The following is a 21,906-nucleotide window of genomic DNA, read 5'->3' as shown; positions in this document are numbered from 1 at the left end:
ATGGGCTCAGAGTGAGATAAAACCTTTGAAAAATAAGAGACCTGCCATTTCTGTTAAGATTTTAGGTATCCCATGTCCCCCAGTAAATAGGGTCATCCCCTTTAAAAAGTAAAAGATAAATTGATTTAGCTTGCATCCCTACCACAAAGTAAGAAGCACAAAACTTTGTAGCTCTTCAAGCTCTGTATGCAAGCTATTCCATACCTAAGAATAGTCTTTGGCCCATATGCTGTGTAACACAAAAGGCTATCAGTTTTGAACAGAATGTGAGCAGATAAAGGCTGTTTAGCAGATCCAGGTTACATTGCAAACATCCCTGCTGCTTGGGTCATATAATCCAGCAGACTTTGTGCTCTTGGAAGAGTTGATTGTGGGTAAAATCTAGAGTACATACCAAGAGTTAGTGGGAAAATTACAACATTCATTTATTAAGTTCTGGAACAAGATCATTCCTCCTACAGTAGATGTATTAGTCCATTTCTATACTACTATAAATAAATATCCAAGACTGGGTAATTTATAAAGGAAAGAGGTTTAATTGACTCACAGTTCCACATAGCTGGGGATGCCTCAGGAAACTTAACAATTATGGCAGAAGAGGAAGCAAGCACCTTCATCACAAGGTGGCAAGAGAGAGAAGAATGAAGAAGGAAGGCCTAAACACTTGCAGAACCAGTAGACCTCGTGAGAACTCACTGACTATCATGAGAACAACATGGAGAAAACCATCCCCATGATCCAATCACTTCCTTTCCTCGACACGTGGGGATTACAATTCGAGATGACATTTGGGTGGGGATGCAGAGCCAAACCATATAATTCCACCCTTGGCCCCTGTCAAATCTCATGTCTTTTCACATTTCAAAACCAATCATTCCTTCCCAACAGTAGCGTAAAGACTTAACTCATTTCATCATTAACTCAAAAATCCACAGTCCAAAGTCTCATCTGAGGCAAAGGCAAGTCCTTTCTGACTATGATCCTGTAAAATCAAAAGCTAGTTAATTACTTTCTAGATATAATGGGAGTATAGGAATTGCATAAATGCTCCCATTCCAAATGAGATAAATTGGACAAAATAAAGGGGCTACCAGCCCCATGCAGGTCTGAAATCCAGCAGGGCAGTCATTAAATCTTAAAGCTCTGAAATGATCTCCTTTGACTCCATGTCTCACATCCAGATCACACTGATGCAAGAGGTAGGCTCCCAGGGCCTTGGGCAATTCCACCCCTGTGGCTTTGCAGGGTACAGCCCCACTCCCAGCTGCTTTCATGGGTGGCGTTGATTGTTGTTTTTCCAGGTGCCTAGTGCAAGCTGTCAGTGGATCGACAATTCTGGGGCCTGGAGGATGGTGGCCTCTTCTCACAGCTTCACTAGGCAGTGCACCAGTGGGGACTCTGTGTGGGGCTCCAACCCCACATTTCTTTTCTGCACTGCCCTAGCAGAGGTTCTCCATGAGGGCCCAACCCCCTACAGCAGACTTCTGCATGGGCATCCAGGCATTTCCATACCTCCTTTGAAATCTAAGAGGAGGTTCCCAAACCTCAATTCTCAAATTCTGAGCACCTGCAGGCACTACACTAAATGGAAGCTGCCAAGGCTTTGGACTTGCACCTTCTGAAGCAACAGCCCAAGCTGTACCTTGACCTCTTTTAGCCACAGCTGGAGCTGGAGCAGCTGGGACACAGGGCACAAAGTCCCAAGGCTGCACACAGCAGCACGGCCATGGGCCCAGCTCAGGAAACCATTTTTCCCTCCTGGCCTCTGGGCCTGTGATGGGAAGGGCTGCCACCAAGATCACTGACATGTCCTGGAGACATTTCCCCCATTGTCTTGGTAATAAGTATTTGGCTCCTTGTTACTTATGCAAATCTCTGCAATGCGCTTGAATTTCTCCCCAGAAAATGGGTTTTTCTTTTCTGTCGCATCATCAGGCTGCAAATTTTCCAAATTTTTAGGCTCTGCTTCTCTTTTAAATGTATGTTCCAATTTCAGATCATCTCTCTCCAGTTCAAATTTCCACAGATCTCTAGTTCAGGGGCCAAATGCTGCCAGTCTCTTTGCTAAAGCATAGCAAGAGTGACCTTTGCTCGAAGTCCCTAGAAGTTCCTCATGTCCATCTGAGACCACCTCAGCCTGGACTTCATTGTCCACGTGGGGATTACAGTTCCAGGTGAGAGTTGGATAGGGACACAGAGCCAAACCCTATCAGTGGAAAATTACAATTCTTTCAAGGAACAGCTCCTCTCATGCTCCTGGGCATTGGTAGACATGGAATATTTCACCATCAAATCAAACAAGTGACCATGTACCTTGAAATTTCCAGTTCAGGTAGCCCAGCAACAGTCCATCATAAAATTGAAATGATACATCTGGGATCTATCTAAATAGGGTCAGAGAGTGTGAGTAGGCTTCATGAACAAGAAATCCAGGCTTTCATGTTATTCATTCCAGTTGAACCAGTTTCCCTCCATCAGCATCCACCTGAGATTATGTTTAGGGGTTCCATAAGACCAACGGAAGCAGAGGAAAAAACATGAACTTGTTTGTGGATGTGTGAGCTTGGAATATGGATATAAGCAGAAAATAGATGGTGACTACATTATAGTCATAATCAGAAATGAATTTAAAAGAAAATGGTGAAGTGAAATTTTCTCAATATGAAGAACTTTAAATGGTGCATGTATTAGTTCATTCTCATAATGCTATAAAGAAACATCTGAGACTGAATAATTTATAAAGAAAAGTGGTTTAATTGGCTCACAATTCTGCAGGCTGTACAGGAAGCATAGCAGCATCTGCTCAGCTTCTAGGGAGGTCTCAGGAAACTTTTACTCATGGTGGAAAGCAAAGCAGGGTCATGCATCTTACATGGCAGAAGCAGGACTGAGAGAGAAAAAGGAGGTGGTGAAGACTTTTAAACAACCAAATCTCATGAGAACTCTATAAGGAGAACAGCACCAAAGGGATGATGCTAAACCTTTCATGAAGGATGCATCCCCATGATCTAATCACCTCCCACCAGGCCCCACCTCCAATATCGGAGACTACAATTAAACATGTGATTTGGGTGGGGACAGAGATCCAAAGCAAATCAGTGCACTTGGTCATTATTTTGTTAAAACCAAGAAGTGGCCTGGGGTAAGGCTGCAGATGGATTCATGGAAAGGGGCCAATAGCCTGGTCAGCTGATCAGGGAGGATCCTGAATAGGAAATTATTGGAAGATCAGGTAAAAGGAGATCATCTGTGGAAAGATGTTGAACCATTCATCACAGAAGAGGCACTCATCAATCATGTGTTTAAAGGTCTCAGCCAATTGATATTAGCCAATCTTTACCACTGGCCCCATGTTGGACTCCATGTTGGCCACTGTGGCTACTCTGTTGATGTGCCCATTGAACTTGTTCTGGGGCACAGGGGTTCAACTAAAATGAATAATATGGAATCCTGGGTCAATTATCAATTATCAACAGAGTAGCCATAGTGGCCAACGTCGAGTCCAAGCTTGGGCCCAACAGCATGAATTTTTACTTATCAAGGCCACTAACTACTTCCACTTCTAAATGACTAATCCATCCACAGTAGAGACCAAAACTGAGCCCTTATGTGCCATTATTCCTTGAGAAGATCAACTTCCCACTTGGCTGAACATTGACTTGATTGAGCCCTTTCTGTATAGAAAGGGCCAGTGGTTTGTTATTCCAGGAATAGACACCCATTCTAGGTGGGTTTGCCTTTCTTGGCTGCAGATCCTCATCCAGCACCACTAACAGACTCAAAACTCTGCACAAAATAATAAAAGATAGTTTACTTCACAGTAGAGAAGTACAGGTTGGGACATGAAGACAGGATACACTGGTTATATTTTATGCCACATCATTTAGACACTGATAGTCTGATAGAGCTTTGGAATGACCAACTGAAGTCTGAAGCTGCAGCACCAGCTTGGAAGCAATGCTCTGCAATCACTACATGCAGGCTGAATAGACTATGAAGGCCATGGAGAAAGCCCTGGGGCAGAAAGACTGAGAACAGCCTGGCCAGTGTTGCAGTTGAGATACTGGCAGCAGACTCAAACTACTAAAAGTCAGAAGTGAGCTGGGCTGAAACCAGATGGTTTCACTGCTATATTTTACCAAACATTTAAAGAACAACTAAGACTAATCCTACTCAAAATATTAGAAAGAATAGGAGAGAAGGGAATACTTCCAAACTTATTCTGTGAGGCCACTATTACGCCAATACCACAATCAGACAAAGAAACATCAAAAAAAGAAGACTACAGGCCAATCAATATCCCTGATTAACACTGATGCAAAAATCCTCAGCAAAATACTGGCAAACCAAATTCAATAACACATCAAACAGAACATTCATTTTGACCAAGTGGGATTTATCCCAGGGAGGCAAGGATGGTTCAACATACGTGAACTTATCAGTGTGATACATCATATCAACAGAATGAAGGACAAAAATCACATGATTATTTCAGTTGATGTTTAAAAGGCATTTGATAAAATTCAACATCCCTTTGTGATTAAAATCCTCAAAAAATTGCTTATGGAAGAAACATACCTCAACACATTAAAAGCCATATTTAACAGACCTACAGCTAGTGTCATATTGAATGTGGAAAAACTGAAAATCTTTCTTCTAAGTTCTGGAACAAGGTGGGGATGCCCACTTTTGCCACTGTTACTAAACATAGAACTGGCAGTCGTAGCTGAAGCAGTCAGAGAAGAGAAAGAAAGAAAGGGCATCCAAATTGAAAAGGAAGAAGTCAAATTATCCTTGTTTACAGATTACATGATCTTATATTTGAAAAAAATCTAAAGACTCTGCCAAAACTATTAGAACTGATAAATTTAGTAAACTTGCTGGATACAAAATCAACATACAAAAATTAGTGGAATTTCTATATGCCAACAGTGAACAATCTGAAAGAGAAATCAAGAAAGTAATCCCATTTAAAATAGTTACAAATAAAATAAAATACCTAGGAATAAATTTAACCAAAGAAGTGAAAGATCTATGCAATAAAAACTATAAAATGTTAATGAAAGAAATTTAAGAGGATGCACAAGTCCTCAAGATATTTCATGTTTATGGATTGGGACAATTTATATTGCTACAATGTCCAAACTACCCAAAGCAATCTATAGATTTAATGCAATCCCTATCAAAAAAATCAGTGACATTCTTTGCAGAAATAGGAAAAAAAAATCCTAAAATTTATATGGACCCAGAAAACACCCAGAAGAGCTAAAGCCATTCTGAGCAAAATGAACAAAACTGGAGGAATCAAATTACCGGACTTCAAATCATACTATAGAGCTACAGTAAACAGCATAGTACTGGCATAAAACAGACACATAGACCAATGAAACAGAATAGAGAACCCCAAAATAAATCCATACATCTATAGTGAATTCATTTTCAACAAAGGAGCCAAGAACATACATTGAGGAAAGGACAGTCTCTTCAATAAATAGTGCTGGGAAAACTGAATATCCATATGCAGAAGAATGAAAATTGACCTCTGACCCCTCTCACCATATACAAAAATTGAGTCAAAATGGATTAAAGACTTAAATCAAATACCTGAAACTATGAAACTACTAAAATAAAACATTGGGGAAACACTCCAGGACATTGGACTGCGCAAAGATTTCTTGAGTAATACCCCACAAACAAAGGCAACCAAAACAAAAATGGGATCACATCAAGTTAAAAGCTTCGGTGCAGCAAAGGAAATAATCAACAAAGCGAATAAAAAATTCAAAGAATGGGAGAAAATATTTGCAAACTATTCACCTGACAAGGAATTACTAACCAGAATACTCAGCTATAAAAAAGAATGAGATCATTTCATTTGTAATAACATAGATGGAACTGGAGGACATTATGTTAAGCGAAAAAAGCCAGACACAGAAAGACAAACTTCACATGTTCTCACTCATTTATGGGAGCTAAAAATTTAAACAATTAACTAATGGAGATAGAGAGTAGAATGGTGGTTACCAGAGGCTATGAATGGTGAGTGGGGGGAGTGGGTATGGTTAACGGGTACAAAAATATAGTTAGATTGAGTGAATAAAACCTAGTATTTGACAGCACAACAGGATGATTACAGTCAACAAAAATTTATTGCACATTTAAAAATAACAGAGAGAATATAATGGGAATATTTGTAACAGAAAGAAATGATAAAGGCTTAAAGTGATAGATACCCCATTTACCCTGATGTGATTATTATGCATTATATGCCTGTACTAAAATATCTCATGTACCCCACAAATATACACACCTACTATGTACCCATAACAAATTTTAGATTTAATTTAAAAAATGAAGTGGGCTGGGATGATGTGACATATAGCATCAAGTATTTGCATTAGGCTCTGTCCATGCTTGAGTTTTTGTTTTCCACCATGAAAATAGCATGTTCCAGAGAGTGGGTGCTTCTTCAGTCTAGATCCCAGAATGGTAAGACACGAAGAATACCATCAAGCTGAGTCCTGTTGAGCGTAGCAGAGATGAAGCCAGTTCACATTCTCATATAATATAAGCAAAAACTAAATGTGTTATGCTACAGGGTGGAATGTTGATGTCCCCCCAAAAATTTAAATCTTCACCCCCAAGGTGATGGTATTCGGAAGTGTGGACTTTGAGAAGTGATTAGGTCAAGGGGTCAGGGCCTTCTTAAATAGGATTAGTGTGCATTTAAAAGAGACCCAAGAGAGACACCTCAACCCTTTTGCCACGTGAGGGTAGAGTAAGAAGGCTGTAGACATCAATATCTGCCAATGCCATGATCTTGAACTTCCCAGCCTCCAGAACTGTGAGAAATAAAGTTTCTGTTGTTGTAGGCCACACAGTCTATGGCATTCTGTTGCAGCAGCCTGCACAGACTAAGATGTCATAAACCACTGATAACTTAGAGTTGTTTGTCATTGCACCAAGATTTGACTAATAAATTAACCATGATTTAAGTTGAGGATCCTATGGATTTATTATCTTATTCTTTCTATTTCTTTTTTGGTGCCAAAAGAAATCAGTAGAAAATCTGGCTTTGCCTCACATAGTAATATAGAATTTTAATGATAAACTCATGAATTAATGGGCATTTCAAATTTTTTTTTCTAGAAGAATTGAAGCATTTTATTTTAAATATAATAGATTATATCAGGTATATAATAAGGTATAAGGTGTCTTGATTATACATGGTGGAAAGGTTACTTGACTATTTTTTATAGTTTTATCTAGACAGGCTGCCTTCGTTTGCCATTATATTTTCAACTTCAAAAACGTTTCATTAAGAGTGTTCCAGAAACTTTATGTACTTAGAATACCTCTAAAAACAATTTAAAAATATGTCTCATAAGGGTGCTTGGAAAAGCAGTTAATTCATGTCAAAGGCTATATTTTTGCTACTTTGGAAAATGTTTTCATTGTAAATCTCTTCAAAATGTATTTTTATGATAGAAAATACTCATTTAAAATCAACAATGGTAAACAATTGTTTAAATCATTTAGTAATATTTTAAATACTAAAAAATAAACCCAACAAATTATAGTTTTAAGAAGATAAGGACAGTAACTCAGTTGATAACTAATAACTGTAGAAATAGAGTAAATCTGAACACAGTAGACAGCATAGAATTTTAGAGAGTATTTCAGCCTGTTTCTCAGTATGTTTAATAGTTATTTCAAAAACTATTTATTATCTGTATATGAAATTTAAGTTGATAGCAATGTTATTTTTTCCTTCAATCACTAAACAAGGAAGGAACATGAAGTGGCCCTGGGTAATTTGAATAAGACATTTCTTTCCTGTAGGGACAAGTAAACTTTTAACAGTGTTGTTTTTCCAGTTGCTTTCATCAGATAAAAGCAGCTTCCCACTGTCCTCCACACTCTTGTAAAACCTCATGACCTAGTTTGGGGCCAAATTTAATCTGTCTAAATACTACTTAAGAACTGGGGAGAAATGATCAAGCAGAAACTTTTGCTTAATGTTCTCAATGCACTTGGGAGTTTGAAGCTCAAAATCCATCCCAGCTGCTTGAAGTTCAGCTCTCACAAATTTCCCATGGTCACTGCTCCTGAGGAATTCTTTTTGGTTCCCGTTTCCCTTCCTCCTTGTGTTTGTACAGGGTCTTGTGACAACAGTTCTGTCATACACATACTAAGGTGACCAACCTAGTTCTCATTTGCCAGAAACTTTCCTGGTCTTAAAACTGGATATCTGGTGTTCCCAGTAACCCCTTAAGGCAGGGGCAAACCAGGACAATTGTTACCCTAACCCAGTTCATCTCCAATTCCATATTCCCTGTTACTCAATACACCTTCAGTAGTAGAATCTGCTGTGGTATAAGAAAGAAAAGAAATGGAAGACTAAATGAGGACATGATAATGAAAGATAATAAAGAAGATTTTGAAAGTTAAGAGGAAGGAATGGAGGCAAAATTCCACCCTGCTAATGATCAGCATCTCCTCCTTCACAGCTGATTCTTCTCAATCCCTTCTTCCAGTTGTCATCTCCCCTCACACCCACATTTGTTCTGAGCAGTTTCTTTTCCCCATCCTCCCCATCCCCTTTCCAGAAGTGGTGGTTGAGAACACTAGCCCTGGAGCCAGAATATCTGGATTCAAATTCAACTTCTGCAAGTTGAGTGCTGTGTATAAGCTATTCAACCTCTTTGTCCTCATTAACTCCGTATGAAAGTAGTGCCTGTCTCATATGGTTGTGGTTAAATGAGTTAACACATGGAAAGCATACAGAGCTGAATAATTATCAATGTCAAGTATCATTATCACTGTTCCCCAACTCAGGGTCTACTACAAAAGCCCTTCAGGAGTCTTAGCACTCCATGCCAGGCTCTGACAGGCTGGCCTCAGCACCTCACCACAGCTTAGCACTGTTTCAATGAGCAAAGCTGATTTGGACTTCTAAATGACCTACAAATAAACTCTTGGAAAAGAACCTGTTCATAAGCATGTAGGTCAGATAAAATTGATACTGCTTTTGTCATTCACATACTTTGTTGCTGGAAATGATTATATCTCAGAGCAAAAATCTGATGTGAGCTATTTGTTCATACATTTTTAATTTATGTACTCAAAATGTTGAAATAACATTCAAAGTCGTAGATGCTTATCTGAACTGAACCCAAAATATTCTGAGGTTTAAATATCAGTTATAGTCATCAGAGAATTGTAACTGGAAAAGAGAAACCTTTGCCTGAAAAAAAGAATTGAGATTTATTTTTACTTTTTATCTTGAGAAAAGCTACCTCTAGATCTACAACTATATAACATGTATAGATAGATTCAGAAATATTTTGCCTCTATAATTAGGTTAAAATTATAAGTCCAGAATAATGAATAGTCACCCTAGAGGTATACACTCAATGATTTCAGGATATTTATGATCTACAAAACTAATGACATTTCTAAAGAGAACACAATTTTGAGGTAAGAGAGGAAATTCCATAGTACTTGGGATGGGACTTGGGACAATGGAGATGATGGGAGCTTCTTGAGGTGCAATAGAAGATAATTCTGGATAATTCTAGTGGTAGACTAGAGGAATAGGTAGCATAGAACCCAAAGCTAGCTGTACAATCTAGATAAATATATACTGGGACAAATAGGGATTAAAACTAGGAGAGGACCAGTCCACAGAGCTAAGTAAATTTTATGGAAAAAGGCAGGCAAGACTACAGAATGACTCCAGAGACTGGAACTTGATAAAATACTCTAAAGATGGATCTGGAGAGCTTGTGGGTAGAAAAACGTACAAGCTGCATTTTCAATAATATTTGGGCATTAAAAATCATGAACTGAGTCTTCCACGTACTAAAATACCACAGCATTTTTGGTTTTGTAGACAGCAAGTATACATTTTAGATTTTAGATGCAGACATGGGAGCTAAATGTAGTATGGCTGTAGTATAAGAAACATAAAAGAACAAATAAACCTAAAAACCTGACCGATGTATCAGGGAAGACAAGGCTGTTTGCCCTTAATTTAAGAAAGGAGTTTGAGGAGAAATAAGTAAAAGACTGCACAAGAAATATTGGAACCTGCATCTGTAGCTACATTAAGCCAAATGAGGGGAGGGGAGGGGTTGATGTAATGAATTCTTTACAGCTTAATTAATTTTAAAAAAATACTTCATCAAAACAATTTTACACGTAGGCAAATAACTGGTGAATGTCTTACTCCTACTGATTTGCTTTCAATGTGGACATACCTCTAATTTGTATTTCACATTAATCCCTAAAATCAAGCCTTTCTGCACCAGCATGCCTCCCCCACTGCCACCACTCCCATGCCCCACCTGATTTTACTCTCACTTTATTTCACAATGGTTGTGCGTATGCTGTTTCTTCTGTTTTGGACTCTCTTACTTCTTGATCTGATCCTTAACTGCTCTTCAAATTCCAACGTAAGTATCTTTTATCTGTCAAGCTTTCATTAGACTGCACAAAGGCTCACCTAAAATCCTTCTAGTGTTTTGCATATAGGTCCATCATCAGCAGACAACGATGATACTGGCACCTGGTGCACAAGCATCCCCTAGTCCTATCCCTGCAATGAAGCATGTGCTTGTCTGTCTCCTCCAGTAGACCAGAGGCCTCTCAAAAGCAATCATAATTTGATTGCTTTTCAGTACTTCTACCATTTAGTACAGGACCTGACAGAAGGGCAGGGCTGGGGATGGACAGAAACTTGAGCTCAACTCAAGTATAAGTTCTGTTTAATGGTGTGGGTGCCAAGAAGACTTGTGGAGAAGGATTCTGATGTGTAGCCTGTTCTGAGAGGGAAAGAGTTCCATGATCAATTAGCGATGTCGGCTATGGGAGTAGGAAACTGGGAATGGCAGTACCTATCCCACACATTTGCTCTTTTATCACAGGCATTCTGTAATTGTTTGTTGAGAGAACAAATACATTAGCAAACTTGAAGTAATGTTTCTTGCAATGTATATAACAATATTAAGTAAAATATTCTTTACTTCATTTCATAGCCTCTGATCTCAAGGATCACAAAACACATTGAGTATTTTTTATGTCACTGATCACTCCCTTTTAGTTTTGAATGTAGGTATTCATTTCTCTTAGAAGGGAATTTGAGACCCATAATCCATAAACAGATCATGCATATGCATAAAACAAATGTGATCTCCATGGTACCAAATATACAGGGTATCTGTTTTCTTCAGTAACTTGATTCAGTGGTTTTACATAGCCTTAAGATTACATGGTCAGTCAGAAGTAGGGCTTGGATGTCTGACTATTTTCCCCATAAACAGAAGGACAATATAATTTATAGTCCATACTTGGGACACCTTTGAGAGTGAATGGGGTGCTATTAATTATGTTGTAACAAGAGATGTAAACAAAAAACATTCTGGGACATGTGCGACGTATAGTCACCCTACTCTATAGAACTGTGACTCTAATTCTCCTATAGGCTACATTAAGTTGTTTGCTTAATATACACCCAAAACTGTAATTCCAATTGATTTCCTGTGGTTTCTTGGGTCACTGTATTGAGAAAGATATTAAGGCCGCTTCCAGATGTCACAGAAAAGGGTGCTGTGTTTCACTGGTGATGCCTGGTGGCTGACAAATGTGAATGAAAGGACAATGGTAGGAGTGCCCCTCACTTATGATTCCTGATCTAGAACTGAGAATCCACAGCTGTTTGCACTTCTACACTAGGTTCCTAGGAAGTAGTTATTTCCTCAATATTGACTCCTCCTCCATTTTGGTGCTTCAGTTCCCTTTGTGAGGATCTGGATTTCATATGACTTAGGCCATTCATAACCAAGATTTGCTGCTAACTTTCTAGACTTTATAAATTTGCTACTTACCATTTCCAGTTCTAGCTGTGCTACTCAGGATTCTTGATTTCTTGTCTATCCATACCGTCACAATTATAGACTTTTTTGTAAAATCACTTCCACCTAATTTTGGAATTACTGGGCTTCCAGTCCTCATGACCATACCCTTTACCTAGTGCATGGCTACGGGATCTTGTCTTTTATATAGCTTGGCTTCCATTTTTTAGCTTCCTAGCTATGACCAATTTCTCCCTGGCACCTGTAACTAGCAAAATCCTAAGTCCTTACATAACAGTTAATCTCAAAATCTAGTTTCCAAGCCAGTGCTCTCTCAAAGGTCTGTTGTTCTGTTTCCAAAATTAGCAATGAAACATGATGCAGGTATTTCTGATAAGAGGAGGATTTCATAATAAAATTACTCAGAAAAGTATCTCAATTATCAATTTTGTTTCAGCACAGAAGACAGAGCCTGAATGATCTTTGCCAAGTCCCTCAACTTAGTGTTTACAAAACTTCAAAATGTTTACTTAATATAATAATGACAAATCCCAGAGAGTTTTGTGAAGAATAACATAAAAGTCAGAAGGGCTTGCTTTGTTAATGCTAATTAACCCATTTGTGCCTGAAGCTGCAATTTTTTGAATTTTTGCAATCAGATCTTGGTGATGACCTTGAGCAGCAGGATATAAATAACTCCCAGATGCTTAGCGTTCCAATAATGGAACACTAGGCATAAATGGATCAGGACACCTGTCCTAATTCCATTATAGGATTGTACTGAGGAACGAATGCAGTGATAAATAACACAGTTGTTAGAAAATATAAACTATGGTCTTTTGTATAATGCAAATCTCAGATATGTTAGAAATGGCTTTTGTATTATTTATCTTAATCTAACGTAGTTTTAACTCCAAGACTCAATTCTACCATATTGCCAAGAATTCCTCTAGCCTTTTCAAAATAGCACCAGAGACTGGGAGCCTTAAATCTTCATGAAAATAGGGAAGAAGCTGATGTTCTGGCTAACATGGTCACTTCTGATTTTTTCACTATCCAGAAGATCCCCTTGACATCTGGCAGTTCTCAAGTGCTTGTGTACCAGTCTCAGGTGGGAATCTTTGGTCATGTTTGGAACGAACCCAGCTGTGGTCCCATCTCCTGGTAGCCATCTCTCACTTCTGCGGGCTCCTGACATCTAATATTCAACTCTGGAGTCATCCTGCCTTCTCCCACATTCATCTGAGGACCAGGGCTGTGGTTCCACTGCCCTAGGGCCTATGACCAATGAGCCTCTCTCCTCTGGGGGAAGACTCTCCACCCCTGGCTTCTACAAATTCTTCCTTGTCTTCTTTACTGCATGGGCAGGTGGGACAGGATGATTTCTTTCCATTTCCCCATCTCTTCTTCTCTCACTGGGCATCCTGATGGTGGCACAGGGGCAGCTAGGTGTCAGGGCTGGGACTTGAGCAACTCAATAGCTGACAGGCTCAGGGAGATAGGGAAATACATCACTGACAGCCTCGGCCTCTTCCTCTACAATCACCTCATTCTATTTCCAAACTCAATGCTGGACTCCCTCTCATGGGTTGTTGCACATTTGGTGATGAATTTCTTTAACTGGCTCTAGGCCAGGATGATAAAGCAAAGACTATAAAACACACAGAATTACTGCAAAGAAACAGAACCCACATTCTTTCCAGATATTGCATGTTGAAAACTACATATCCGTAGTCATCTGGAGATTTCGTTGTTTAGGAATACAATTCCTAGGTGGATTTTTCTTTTTCTTTTATTATTATAATTATTATTGTCAAAGGAAACTATTATAAACTGAATGCAATAGAAAAAAAAGGGTCTACTACCACTTTTAGTTTCTGTAGTATTGGTTAATGAATATGATACTCCTCTCTACAGCCCCTCTCCCCAACATCCATGTTTTATGGCAAAAGATTATAGGCTCATAAATGCAGCTGGGGCCAATAATTGATGAATGCAATATTTTATGACAGATTATGCATTTCCTTAGACAGGTAACTGTTACAGAAATATTGCTTCTTGATTATAACCAATCAGATAATAAAAATATGTTTCAGTTTTACTGAGATGTTTGATTTTCTTAGGTCTTGTTGTGCCACACCAGGAATAAAGCTTAATTAAGGATTCATTTACTAATTGTTTATCATAAAAGCTATATTCAAGGGAAAAAGTTACATTGAATCCATAGTTTTCTGGGAGGAGAACATGGGAACAGTCTGTTTGTGACCTGTATTTCTCTGCCAACTTCAGGACTTGGTAACCTATACAGGTTTCCTATGTGAGAGGTTAAAGTGTGGGTCCTTCTGTTTCCTAAAAAGGAAGCCTATAAAGCACCACATCATCTTTTAATTATTTTCCATACAATAAAGCCAGTTTAAGGCCATGAAATGGCCTATGAGCTCCTATGTGTTATGTAACATTTTCAGTGGTTACTGTAGCAACATTTTGTCCTTTATGGCATTTCATTTCCATATAAAGTAATCTGCATTGTTATGGGATGCTTTGTCCCATAGTGATGACCATAAACCATGCTCAAGGGTCTCAAACACTGACTCCCCACTCCCTTTTGTTCTACCTGAAAGGCGCCTACTAAGCTTCTTCTTTTAGTGACTATTAAAGGGGGAAGGATGCCCTGAAGAGGTTCGTCCGCTGTCCAACAGCGACCCCTAGAGGCACAATGCCTTGAAAGTGGCCAAAACCTCCAAAACTTCAATGCTTTTCTCCAATCAAGTGCTGCTGTAATTTGCTTACCTTGAGAACTATCACAGCATTAATCAAGACCTGCCTTTACTCTGAAAACATGGGCTGCTTTTGGTGCCCAAAAACGAAAGCCCAAAGTTTCGGGAGCTTTACTACCTACTATCTACTACACATACATTTGTTTTCTCTTTGTGAGATTTAAGGGAACCGTGGAAGAATTGCTTTTTATTCATCATCAAATAAGCATAATAACAAATTTGGGCATAGTCAAGATACAACGCCTTTGATGGCTTTTCGTTAGTTTTTTGTTTTTGTTTTGTTTTGTTTTTCGCTTGAAAAATAAGTTAAAATCTCAGGAAGAAAGAAAGAAAATCCTAGCGCTTTTTCTTTTCTGAGCTTGCAACTGTTTGTAGCTCAGGCACCCGGATGATTCATCCCATGAAAGCCTTGAGCGCTCCATTTGTTTTGTAGATTTCACTACTCCCTTTGTTCCGCTTCAAACCTTTCAGAGGGCTGAAATGCATTATTACCTTGTTAAAGCTCAACCAAAATCATTTCTACAGCCTGAAGCTGTTTTGACGTGGGTTGAGTATCTCACACAAAAGAATTGCTTTTGTTCCCAGAAGCTCTTATTGGCTGAGTGGCCTTTGCTCTGAGCCAATCAGAAGCTAGTTGTTAGGCTTGGCTGGCTATTTTTAGCCCAACACGCAAAAACACTTGGTCTTGGAGGGGGTCGGCTGGAGAGTGAAAGGCCCTGTAGTAAAAGCCAACAGCTAAATGCATTTTGGATGTCAAGGCGCGTTTGACATTTTCTCTTTAATTCCTCATACGCTGTTACATTAGCATGTGTTTTTCGTAAACAACAAACTTAGAGCTGCATTTCCCAGTCCTGAATTATCCATTTAGTAAAGAGACAGAAAGGCTAAGAAACAGCATTCCCCTTTTATCCAAAAGCAACGCACGGTAGTATCTAGTTATTTCATAACGCAAAAAAAAAAAAGTCAGTTACCGTATTGAGAATACTAAGGTGTTTTTGCCAAAGAATTTTTATGAATTTTCATCTTGAGTTAGAAATTTTCAATGCCTTGCTCATAATGAATTATAGAGTCCTAAAATAATCTTTTCCTCTTGCCCTTTAAATATGTATATAATTACACGAACGAGTATACACATGATGTGTAGCAATTAAAATAATAAATGCTGAGTGTGTTTCATGCATTGAGAAAAAGCATTCTTTTGAGCATGTTCTTCCATTTAAGCCATTACTCAGAGGGCACAAGAAGTATTTTTCCCAAATGCGCTTCAAGAGACAGGGCATTAAAACACACAATTTGTTAATTATCCGATATTATCAGGAAATGAAAGTTGCCAAACGGGAAAAGCCAGGCTCTTAAACTTTGATTTTCCCTCAGCAGTCTATTCAACTGGGCTTATATAAGGAGGAGACAAGCTGAACCCAAATTTTACAACACAAAGCAATTTTTATTGGCAGCAAGGGAGACCCCTTCCTGAAAAAGAAAGAAAAAACCCAAATCTATGTCTAATTCTTAAAATATGTTTCAGGTTGTAGATTTTAGCAATATTTATTATTCAAGCTTGGGAATATGACCTCATTTGCCATGGTTGTTTGCTTATTTTAAGAAAAATGCCTTTCTACTTCTTGTTGCAAGCCATCAGGCAACCATTTAAACATGCAAGCAAAAAGTCTGGATCATGGGCATATTTAAAAATCTGGAAGACTTCAATAAGTTGTAAAGATTTACGATTCCATCGTGGGCTTGCAGAAGGGGTTTGCTGTGGCCTTCTGTGAGCAAGGGCGGCCTAGTATATGGTGGGCATAGGCCAAAGAACTTACCAAAAATTCTACCAGAGTGAAGGGAGCACAAATAGTTTTGGGGGAAAACTTTCCTTGTCTTAAGCAATACCGTATACAGTGTTTAGAAGGAATGTCACCTAGGTTTCAGAAGGTGAATTTGAAAGGCTGAAATAAAGTACTTTAGAAAGAGGTATCTTTTTCTTTCCAACATCAATTTGATGCACACAGGGACAGATTTTGAGAAGCTCTGTAATTGCTCCCAGGAGTTGAGTTAGGTTGAGGTAGTCAACCAGCTGCTAACAATTTAGTTTAATATGCAGTCTTAGTAAATTAAAGGAATCTGATAAATTGAGACCCAGCATGATTCTTATTTGTTTGCTATGGCATAACATGTTGAACGCCAGCAGAAATTAACCCATTGAAATTTTTCTACTCAAGGCCCCCATTTTATTTTCTCACTTTCCTGTGTCAGATGTTTTTGCTCCAGACTTGGTCATCTGAGCAATTCCTTAGTTTTATGCTTATCTACTTAAAAAATATATATATAACAATAATACAAATTCTAGAATCATGCTTATTTTCAGTTTTCTCTCTGTGTTTGTATTTAAACTCCTTGAAGGTAAAAATAAATAAATAAATGAGTCTGTTACTCCTCTTGTGTGTTAACCTTTCTACTTCACATGTAGATCATCTTAAACATGCTTGATGTAGATTTTGTTTTCTGTGGGAGCTGAGACACTTGTGGGAGGAGAAATGTGCAATTTTGTACTTGGCTACATCCCCAGAGGAGTGGTGACCAGAAAAGGGAAAGACAGCTTGCCAGATACCTAAAGGATAAATGAGATATTGAGCTACTGGAAACACCAAAATTTACCATTGATTCTTTCTACACACTAAACTGTTACTTGTGATAGTAGTTGTAAAAAACTGCATGTTTATTAACCGAAAGGTGATTGTTCTAACATTCACTGGGAAAGAGTGAAATGGTTGGAATAACACTTTAGCACTCATACCTAAAGATTTGCAAAGCCAAAATGCCAGGCAAAATTAAAACAGGCTAAATTCATATGTACAAAAGAGCTGTAATTCTTTTATGATGAAATAGATATTTTCTTAGAAGCAACAGTTTCCTGTGTTCTGTAAAGTAAGCCAAGTCAGTAATGGGTAACTCTGGCATCTCCTGCTCTCCTCTCACCTCATGGATGCCAGGCTTTCGAGTTGTATTTCAATTCTCCCTTACATTGTGGCCTCTTTGCCTCACTCCCAAATTCCTCATACCTCTTCCAAACTTGCAGTTAGGAGTGAATATAGGATCCTCCTCCTCCTCCTCTTTCTCTCTCTGTCTTTAGATTAAACTGAAAACATGGCAGCTTTTTCCAAAATTATTCATTCTTTGTCAGGTGTGTGTGTATGTGTCTTATTGTGCCATTGAAAATAAGAATGTGGAGGGTGCCTTACTATGCCATAGAACAATTTATTGTGTTTCTGGGTTGCCATCTTTTCAATCTGATTAATTTATGGTCCCATAGAGAATCTCTGGTGTGAATTATGTTAGCTTTGTTGAGTCCACTGTGCAGAAAGTCAGTTTGTATCAATATTCTTCTAGGCTTAACAGTTTCTCCTTAAAAGGCTTAATAATTGCCTGTCATTTGTCTCTTGGCCCATTTTTATCTTGGAAATGATTGGCTGTTAGGCAGACCATTTGTGTAATATTACTATAAAAGCCTTAAAACATGGGAAGAAAATTAGAATCATATGTGTATATACTAGGTTAGTAATGAATAAAGTGCTTTTCTACAAAATTTTGAGGACCTTTTAGGAAATCAAAATCTTTAATGACATGAGGATATCCCAAGTCAGAATAAGGGGAAGTTTGAGGGAAAATATTTAAATTAGAGGGTAACTTTGTGCAAGGACAAGTGATATTTGTAATTTTTAGTGTACAGGCTACCATGAAGCTTACAAATGAAAACAACAGCAACAATTTAAAACCAAACCATCTAAGTCAAATTTTATCTAAAATGAGGTAAATGCTATGACAAAAATGAAAATTTTATTGCAATTCAAGATCAAGTAGATGTCATTATGGTTTTTCAAATTATGAAATAAATAAGGAAGGAAAATGTGGCTAAACCTACAAAGAACTATGAAGATTAAAAATGGAACGTGGAATTTGTACTGTCTTAATTCCTCTGGCTTTTATAAACAAATAAAAGTAATATTGTATACTGCTAATAGCCACTCTAAAATATATTCCCCAAATGAGAAAATAATTGTATTTACATTATATTATAAGAATAAACTTAATTATGTTTTCAAAAGGAAATACTGGAAAGTGTAATAATAGACCTCAGAATAAAATAACACAATCCAAATATCCCTTATATTTTTAATAAAACAGCAGAACCTATTATTATAGATTTTCCACTAAGGAAAAATATGGAAAGAAGCTGAGGGAAAACATAGGTAGGGCAAAAAAATGCAAACCATTTTGAAACTTGATGTAGAAGCATATTATTTTAGCAAAGTAAGGGAATCTATAGATCCGAGTGAACTATTCCTTTTCATTGGCATCCAAGATCATTCATCATGTGAAAATCTGTAGTATAGTTAGATGTAGAACAATCCAGAAGGAGGTGGGGCTGGGTGTTGGTCACATAACTATAAATTTTTCAAACCCCAAAGATTACAGAGCTCTTAAGCAATATGTCCGGAATAAGTGAGCAGAAAGCAAAGGCATGAAGTGGCACTGTGAATAGTCCTCATTACAGCTGCATGCCTAAGGGGTCTTATTTACAGCTGCCCTCTCCTTCCAGTGGCAACTCTTTTCTCTTTCATGCATCTTGAAAGCCTCTGTAATTTCTCAGTGAGAATGATTTGTTGCTTACAACTGACAGAATGACAAACGAATGCTTTTAAACATCCATTTTAAATACAGGACTATTAGAAAAAAATGCTGCGAAAATCCCTTACCCTTTTTTTGGTGGGGGGAGGGTAAGCGGCTATTGGAACACCTCTGGCCTTCTGTGGAGTCTTTAAAAGTCGACTGTAGTTTTTAAAATGACCACTGTAGTTTGCCTTGGTGCATAATGACTTGGTTTGTTTCAGAAAAGTCCTTTGTTAATCAGCTGGTTTTCCAATTTGGCTGTAAGTACTGATGTCCATGTCAGGGTCTAGTTTTGTACTATCCTTTACTTACTGCAATGTCAATGTTATACTTCCTTTGGTTAAAATAATAAAATAGCTGATTGGGTATTTTGTAGGACCCATCACCCTGTGGTTGGTGCCTGTGGTGCCACAGTGTGTCCGTCAAATGAGCGTATGTGCTGTTCAGCAAATTACCTTTGAAAAGAGGCATGGGCACAGGCTTCTTGTAAATTTCACAGCTGTGAAGCCAGATGTTGGCTGACATGCACTGCTGGGGTTACCGTGGGAAACGGAATCATGATGCTTTCTGGAGGACCCTATATTACACTTCATGTCAGTAACAAACCACAGCCCAAATTGATGATGGATGCAGTGGCTTGAAAGCTGTTGAGCATTACTTTGTCACCATTGAAAGGCATTACTCTTCACACAATGCACAACCCCATTAACCTCTGGGACTAAATCTCCATAGAAATCATCCCCTACTTTCTGCAAACTTTGCTAGAAATGTAGTCATTAATATCAAAAGGCAAGGAGACAACATGGGAAACTGGATATAGAAACATTTTCTGACAGAAGATATACAATGTGTAGGCATTCCCTATGCTAAAGGCTGAGAAATGCAAGATATTCATGTTGATCTCCAACCTTTCACCCTGTGTTAGAATTTGTAGGACAGATATAGGAATAAGGGATCTGGAAGAGAAATCTAATGCCACTAATCCAAACAATTTTAGAACTCCCCTCTTAGCATTTTATCTTTCTTCACTTAATATTATTTCGCAGAAGTATCAGGAGTCAGACGGTATGTTCACAAATTGGATTTCAGTTCGAGTGATGCCATCATCTTCTAGTACATTCATACTAATTGCATAAGGCTAATGCAATCCATCCTCAAGAGGATGGTGTCTTACTTTGCTATGGCTGCCATAATCAAGTACCATAGATGAGATGACTCAAACAACAGAAATTTATCTTCTCGCAATTCTGGAAGCTAGAAGTCCAATATCAAGGTGTCAGCAGGTTTGGTTTCTTTGGGACTTCTCTCTTCAGCTTGCAGATGGTTGCTTTCTTCTGTGTCTTCACGTGGTCTCTCCTCTGTGTGCTCATATTCTGGTGTCCCCTAGTATGTTCTAATCTCCTCTTCCATAAGGACACCAATCAGATTGGATTAGGGCCTAGTGCTATGCTCTGAATGTTTGTATGTCATCAAAATTTTTTTGTTGTTCTTGAAAACGAATCCCCAGGATGAGAGTATTTGTAGCTGGGGCCTTTGGGAGGTGAGATCAAATCTCCAGTGAATGGGATTACTGCCCTTACAATAGAAGCCCTAAAGACATCCCTCATCCTTCTGCCAGGTGAGGACACAGTAAAAAAACTAACTGTTCATGAAGCAGGAAACAGCCTTCATCAGACACCAAATCTGCCAGTGCCTTGATTTTGGGCTTCCCAGACTCCAGGACTATAAGAAATACATTTCTGATGTTCATAACCCACCCAGTTTATGGTGTTTTGTTGTAGCAGCCCAATAAGACTAAGACATCATCCTCTTGAGGAGAATCCTAGTATTATCTGGGTTGTCCCTCCTGCTCACTCCCTGTCTTCCTGCATGGATAGACCTCCAAAGGCCCTCTAACTTCACATGCACAACTGTGCCTCTTTCCTCACTCACTTTATTCTGACTTGCAGACCTTCCTGATGGAAAAAACCTACTGGTCACTGCTAACAGCAGCTGTTACTTTTACTGTTCTGTTACCTGCAGATGTGATAGATGGTAGGCTTTGCCTGTTCTTTGATAAGAGGTGTTAACTGTTCCTTACTCTCCACCAATGGCAGTTCCAGCCTCCCTGAACCCTTCCTGAATTCTGAATAAGCTCTGCCATTTTGCACCTCTAGCCTGATTCAGCATATCCTCTCATTTCTGCCCACCCGCCTTCCCTTTGCCCAGCCAATTTCTACCAATCCTGCAATCCTCCTCTTAGAAATAACTTCTTTGAGAAGTTTTGCCTGAACCCACAAGACTCTCTTAGCCCTTTTTAAACAAGTCTCCCTGTACTAAGCCAACACTTAAGTCTTATATTGTAGTTCAGTGGTTTTCAAACTTAATTGTGAAAGCTGGACATGGTGGCTCACTCCTGTAATCCCAGCACTTTGGGAGGCTGAGGCGGGCAAGTCATCTGAGCCCAGGAGTTCAAGACCAGCCTGAGAGACATGGCAAAACCCCATCTCTACAAAAAATACAAAAATTAGCTGGGTACAGTGGCACACACCTGTAATTCCAGCTACTTACGAGGCTGAGACAGGAGGATCGCTTGAGCCTGGGAGGCAGAGGTTGTAGTGAGTGGAGAT

General features: G+C 38.7%; 1 long non-coding RNA gene across 1 annotated transcript in view, besides 3 other annotated features; it reads left to right on the top strand.

Annotated features, from left to right (window-relative positions):
• The window catches only part of LOC105369896 (uncharacterized), a 361,170-nt gene that overhangs the window by 240,623 nt on the left and 98,641 nt on the right, over positions 1 to 21,906 (top strand). The window lies entirely within an intron of this gene.
• Positions 7,926 to 8,220: a silencer, noted in NCBI's record as "tiled region #7828; HepG2 Repressive non-DNase unmatched - State 24:Quies". NCBI's record gives its function as "represses a minimal TATA promoter and a strong SV40 promoter by Sharpr-MPRA in HepG2 cells {active_cell/tissue: HepG2}" and the evidence as "EXISTENCE:reporter gene assay evidence [ECO:0000049][PMID:27701403]".
• Positions 14,215 to 15,046: an enhancer, noted in NCBI's record as "OCT4-NANOG-H3K27ac hESC enhancer chr12:91775503-91776334 (GRCh37/hg19 assembly coordinates)". NCBI's record gives its function as "activates a minimal SCP1, AML or CMV promoter by ChIP-STARR-seq in primed H9 embryonic stem cells {active_cell/tissue: H9 hESC(primed)}" and the evidence as "EXISTENCE:reporter gene assay evidence [ECO:0000049][PMID:30033119]".
• Positions 15,047 to 15,880: an enhancer, noted in NCBI's record as "OCT4-NANOG-H3K27ac hESC enhancer chr12:91774669-91775502 (GRCh37/hg19 assembly coordinates)". NCBI's record gives its function as "activates a minimal SCP1, AML or CMV promoter by ChIP-STARR-seq in primed H9 embryonic stem cells {active_cell/tissue: H9 hESC(primed)}" and the evidence as "EXISTENCE:reporter gene assay evidence [ECO:0000049][PMID:30033119]".

The sequence above is a fragment of the Homo sapiens genome, chromosome 12 (assembly GCF_000001405.40).
Source record: "Homo sapiens chromosome 12, GRCh38.p14 Primary Assembly".
Taxonomy (NCBI): domain Eukaryota; kingdom Metazoa; phylum Chordata; class Mammalia; order Primates; family Hominidae; genus Homo; species Homo sapiens.
Note: the sequence above shows the minus strand (reverse complement) of the source record. Positions and strands in the feature narration are given on the sequence as shown.